This window comes from Homo sapiens, chromosome 12, assembly GCF_000001405.40.
Source record: "Homo sapiens chromosome 12, GRCh38.p14 Primary Assembly".
Lineage (NCBI taxonomy): Eukaryota > Metazoa > Chordata > Mammalia > Primates > Hominidae > Homo > Homo sapiens.
In genome coordinates, this window is record NC_000012.12 from 88,779,375 (window position 1) to 88,785,698 (window position 6,324).

The 6,324-nt window shown below is 37.6% G+C and overlaps 1 long non-coding RNA gene across 1 annotated transcript; it reads right to left on the reverse strand.

Moving 5' to 3' along the window:
* Positions 1 to 2,646: 2,646 nt before the first annotated feature.
* Positions 2,647 to 4,910, reverse strand: LOC105369887 (uncharacterized). Its single transcript, XR_945168.3, has 3 exons — positions 4,830 to 4,910; positions 3,901 to 4,099; positions 2,647 to 2,932 (listed from the first exon to the last, which is right to left on the reverse strand). It is a non-coding gene; the product is annotated as an uncharacterized LOC105369887 (long non-coding RNA).
* Between the last annotated feature and the right edge of the window lie 1,414 nt (positions 4,911 to 6,324).

Genomic DNA, 6,324 nt, shown 5'->3' on the forward strand with positions numbered 1-6,324 from the left:
CCTGGCTCACCACAGCTTTGACCTCCAGGGCTCAAGCAATCCTCCCGCCTCAGCCTCTCAAGTAGCTGGGACTACAAGTACGCACCACCATACCTGGCTAATTAAAAAAATTTTTTTTGTAAAGACAAGATCTCACTATACTGCCCAAGCTAGTCTTAAACTTTTGGGCTCAAGCAGTCCCCCCACCTTGGCCTCCCAACGTGCTGGGATTACAGGTGTGAGCCACTGTGCTCAGCTGAAAATTTCATTCTTTTGGGGAGAAACATTGAAGACTCATTGTAGGTTCTTGAACAAGAGAGTAACACTCAAAATAGAGTTTTAGGTACATTTGCCTGTGTCAGGATGGAATGAAGGGAGAGGGGCAGGTGACTAGCAAGAAAGTACAGAGGGTGCAGTTGAACTCAGTGTGGGGATTGATACAGAAGCAATGAGAGAAAAAGGAGAAAAATTAAGATAATTAAAATAAGGAATTGACAGAACACAATGACAGAAAAATTGAATAGTGTAACTGTTAGCCCTGTTTCCCTAGAATCATCCAATTTATATCTGTTGTCCCAGAAGAATTATTGATAACACTCCTTTCACTTGGATGATAAATTATTTAGTCATCTTATGTGTATTGGAGAATAGTTTCAGCTCAGGCAGCTGTGATAATGGAACTGCCTTGAAGTGCCTCCAACAAATATAGGGAAGACAGGCATTCAGAATGAAGCAGAATTTCATTGTAGACCTGATTAGAGGGAAGAGTAGCAGGGTTTCAGTGTAAGTGCCCAACAGACGGTTGAGATAAAAGACAAACAGATGCACATTCCAGAAACTTTGATTTTGCAGTCATCTGCATCTTTTGTAAAAGCCAGTTTGTACCAAGCTCTGCATTTTGATTCTGAATATGAGGCAATGAATCAAACAAGGGCATTGATGACATCCAGCACACTCTACCAAAGTCAATATACCATCAGAGACCCGGAGAGGAAGTGGAAGACTACCATTCAGGGGAAATTTTCAATAAAGGTCCAACTGGAGGAGTCCGAAGCTTTCTTCAGCCTAACATTCCAGCCCATTTTCCACCATTCTCCCTCATAAATGTTTGACTATGTCCAGATTAATATAGTCACTGCCTGGTATTAATGGTGGATTCCCCCTTCTCCTTGCCCTCAAGTCTTACTGTAACCTCCCTCTACGTCTCCCTCTCCCCTTCTGAAAACCTATCCCTTGCTTCTCCCTCTGCCCATTTCCTCCTGCTACTTTAATGCCACTTAATTTCTCATTTCCCCATGAAGCCTTCTTGACCACAACAACACACATGCACTCTGTAGCCTATGACCTCATAGCATTTAATGTCTTTACTACTAATTAGATTTTAATTTAATCATACATTTGCACCATGACATCCATTTTCTGTGGTTTTATATGTTCTATAACTCCTTATTCAACCACTCGATTATTTAACTGTTAATGCACATATCTAATCTCCTCAAGGTTATATGCCCTTTGAAGGGGGGCTGCTATTTTTCTCTGTATCATATAACTCTTGACTTGGTGCTAGTCCTTATTTCTCAAAAACAAAACAAAATATTTTAATGCTTTTTATGTTGATGAGTGAATTCAAATCCTATTACTAATGCATTTTCAGAGTATTTAACGTTTACTATGAACTATGTCAATTGTATCCTTTTTCATACTAATAAGAATCACAACAATATCAAGAAGTTCTGGTGTTTGGAGACATTTGATACAACATATAAATTCCTTCACTTGTTTGGAAGACCTTTTTTTAACTGGAAATATAATATTAGTACTTTTTATATTAAACATCATACTTCTTGCTTAATCTGCTCTTTAATGTCATATAATACAGTGTAATGAAGTAAACAGAAAATATTCAGTTTCTAAATTTAGAGCTTATATTTCATCAAATTAACAAGAATACCAATGGATTCACATACCCAAGGTGGCAACAGCATTGAGTCAGGGTGTTATTTCCTCCCCTATTCTTTGTGAACGTATTGATGGTGCTTATCACTTAATCAACAGACAAATGCAAGATCTTTTGTCTGTCCCCCAAGTCTACTGCTGCTACAACTGAAGTTACCACTAGCAGCCTCATAAGTTGTTACACAAAACGGCACCTCTCTGTAATAATACAGGAAGTGTGAAAAAGGATTGCTACCAGCTTTACAGAGAAATTCTGCTTTAAGGTGAACGTTTATAATGAATGGAATGGCAGGATTTGGACCACAATATATCTGACACATATGTGATTTAGAAATTTATTACAAAGGATTCCATTGAATTTTCAAAGGGACTTCTCAAATTCTGAATGTAGGTGTTTCTTGCATGATCTGTTTAATCTAAGCTTCAGAATATAGACGGTCATGGGAGTTAGCCAGTGCAGATAAATCAAGAAATTAAACTTCATAAGCTTCATCAATAGCAGCTTCTATAGAAGGTGTAATTTACTGAACATCCATCCATCTTTACCTCCAGAAACATGAGTAATGTCCTTGTGTTTTTAATTTGCACTTAGTCTATATGTTAAAAAGCTGGTGTAAGTAGCTAGAAATTAAATGAGCAGACATGTATGCTTTAAATTCAAATAGTGGCATGGGAAAATATTTTTACTGTAATAAATGCATCTCTGATGTCTGCAGGGGAAATTGAATAGTATTTTATTGACTCAGATCAAACAATCCCTAATTACCACCCAGAGGCACAAAGTAAAATTCCAGCAAGTAGAGGCAGCATTAGGTTGCATCACACTGTCAGACACTATTCTGGTATATGCCCAGGCATTTCCTTGAGGAGTTAACACAAGGTTTACCAGAAAGTCCATCCCACCAAGGCATTGTATGGCAAGGTCTCAGTTGCCTTTCTCTGCCCTCTCTGAGTTTGTTTTTTCTCACAATTGAGGTCTTCAATCAATCTCAAACAACTGGAAAACAGAAAATGAAAACAGGCATTTCTGGTTAGATGAAAGGCATAGATTTTTTTTCTTTCCAACTTTTTATGAAATATTTGTAAAATCTGTCAATCCATTATCTACATTCATAATTACAATATTATGAATACAAATGAATCTTTTTAGCATGATTCTTATGTTCTGAACATATAATCTGTCAAAGTGACCTCATTCCCTGGTAGATAAACTATACAAGTCTTACTCCAAAACAGATGGGGCTTCCTTCAGGATCTGACTCTAGCCTATGTTTCCTGTGACTCCCCACCGCAGACTCTAAGCTCTAGCCTTATAAATTATTTTCATTTGCTGGGTATTTTGTGTCTTTCTCATCCCTGTAGCTTTTCCCATAGAGTCAGAGTGGTTTTTCAGACTACAAATTTCATGGTTCCACTTCTCTCTCTTTTTCAATCCTTCAATGTCTTCATTGAGGTTGCCCACAAAGTCTTCCCTGAACTGGCCCCACTTGTCTCTCTAGTGCCAGTTTAAGTAACTTCCATCCCCATTGTTTATGTCCAAGCCAAGATCATCTTTATACGCAGCAGATTACAGCTCAGAGCCATTAGCCATGACATGGCCTTTGCCTCTTTATGTTCTTCCCTCTCAATATGCCACCTAAGGTATTAACTCTCCTACTATCCTCCAGGAAGTATCCCTGCTTTCCTCTTTTCTCCACCCCCAAGTCAAATCTCCTTACCAAACATTTCATTGCACTTTTCAAAGACAACTTACCTGTAGTTCACCCTTCAAATAAAATGAACAAAAGGTGCACAAGAACAGAGACTTTATCTTTGCTCACTCTTGTGCTCCTGTACCTAGCATATGGCCTAGCTCATAGTAGCTTTTTAATGAGGATTTGATTATTGATCTCTATTATAATTTCTATTGTCTAGAACACCCTGGTGAAAAGCTATTCATTTTTCAAGACACAACTCAAATGTTACCTCCTTAGAGAAATTACTCTGGGTATCTCCCTTAGGTTTTGAGACTTCTTTTCTCCCAGAAGCACATTATACAGGTCATCATGGGCTGTGATGGGCTTCTCATTCAGCATGGAGGTTCTTTATGTTCATGTCCATCTCCTTCAGTATGGCTATCTTTGAGGACCAGGACTGTGATTCATTCATTTTACATCACCAAAACCTAGCATGGCAGATATATATAGTGGGCATTCAAAAACCATTTTAATTAATTAATATGTTCTTGAGTTTCCCAATCATCACATTAACATTTATTTGTTTTCGAATAAATGCAGTGGAAGAAGTGCAGCGACACAAGAATAATGTGTGTCCTGGATTTAGCTGAAGCTTTGTCATTAAGTGACCAAAGGAAAAATGGGTAGACTCTCTGAGATTTAGTTTCTTTATTTATAAAACAAGGAAGAGGTCAGTGATGATTTCTGAAATTTCTTCTTGGTACTTAAGAATTGTAATTAAAATAGTAAATGTAAAAATTGTAAGATATAGGACTAATTCAAAATATGTAGTGAACTTAAGCTTTCACAAATAAATTTCTAACAGTACTTGGTTTAATTTTAAAATGCTCTTTCTCCTAAAATAAAATTTGGAAATATATTAATTAATTGGAATTTGAGGATTCACTGAACAAAAAATGTCAGGTAGCGAAACTCCCTCTATTCAGTACAATTAGTATACACTGAAATTCTGGACTAACCCCCTGGATTAAAAAAAAATAAAAAAAGGACTCCTGGTTTATAGTTTGGCATGTAAAAACTTAGAAGTTTCCACTCCATCCTAACAACAAATAAGAGGCTGAAAAGAACTGAAAAATCAATATCCTTTCTTAGATTCATAGAGAAGTAAGGTCACAGGTCAAACTGTTGCCCCAACAAATACAGAGAATCACATCTTACCTGAGCAGAAACTAATGAAGAAAACCTAAATTATACTTGATGAATTGCCAGAAGTTCCATGTGGATGGGTCTGAGAGCTAAAGGCTTCTGGGGGACTCAGTCTTAGGAAAGACCTCATGCTTTTATGGGTTTTACTTCCTGGATCTTTATCAAGTTCTCGCAGTGATTACAGGAGAAAAATTCCTTTGTGCTTCTGACAGAGGAAAGGGAAGGAACTTTTTTGAAATACACCAGTGCATTCTGTTCTTAATAAGTTCTGCCCTCAGGAGAAACCATTTAGCTAGTTGCTGAAAATTAAAATTGCTAGAGTTTTATCAGAAACTAACTGACCTGGGGGGAAGAGGTGTCCCAACCCTATCTGGTCTTCCATGTGGAAGAAGGAAAACACCCAACTTCAGCTCACTCTAGTTATCTTATCCCATCTAAGTTGAGGGGATGTGACTGAGAAGCATGTGTGAAGTTCGCAGCCCAGAGACACAGGCTTACTAAAAGACTGAGACCTATTCATAAGACTATAAAACACTTCATTTCCCCCACACCTTACCACCACATTAATAAAGGCCTATTTATAGCAGTTTCTTTTACTCAAGGCATCATGTTCAGCTACCAAGAAAAAATTACAAGGCGTACCAAAAGGCAAAAAACACGGTTTGCAGAGACAGACTAAGAATCAAAACCAGACTTAAGATATGGCAGGAATGGTGCAATTATCAGACTGAGAATTTAAAACCACTTTCATTAATATGTTAAGGGCTGTAGTGAATGAAGTAGACAGCATGCAAGAATAGATGGGCAATATAAGCAGAGAAATAGGGATTTTCTAAGAAAGAAACCCCAAAATGCTAGAGATCAAAAAACCAGAAAACAAAAACAACAACAACAGAAATGAAGAACTCCTTCAATGGCTTTAGTAGACTGGACAAAGCTGAGGAAAGAGTCTCTAAGCTTGAGAACATGTCAACAGACATCTAACTGAAAAGCAAAGAGAACAAAGACTGGGAAAGAAAAAAAGGACATACTATCCAAAAACTGTAGAACAATTCCCAAAGCATAAATACACATAATGGGGATATCAGGAGGAAAATAAAGAGAAAGAAAAACAGAGGAAATATTTGAAACAATAAAGATTGAGGATTTCCTCCAAATTAATGTCTGACACTAAACCACAAATCCAGGAAGTACAGAGAACACTGAGCAGGATGAATGTGAAAAAATCTCTATACCTAGGCATATCATCTTCAAACTACAGAAAATCAAAGATAAAATTTTGAAAGAAGTCAGGGGGTTGGGAAGGGGTGGAACAACAACAAAAAAGAGAAGTCAGAGGTGAAAAAACTCACCTTACCTATAGAGGAGAAAAATAAGAATCTCATTTGCATCTGACTTCTCCTTAGAAACAAGTAAAGCAGGCCAGGCGCGGTGGCTTACACCTGTAATCCCAGCACTTTGGGAGGCCAAGGTGGGTAGATCACCTGATATCAGGAGTCCAAGACTA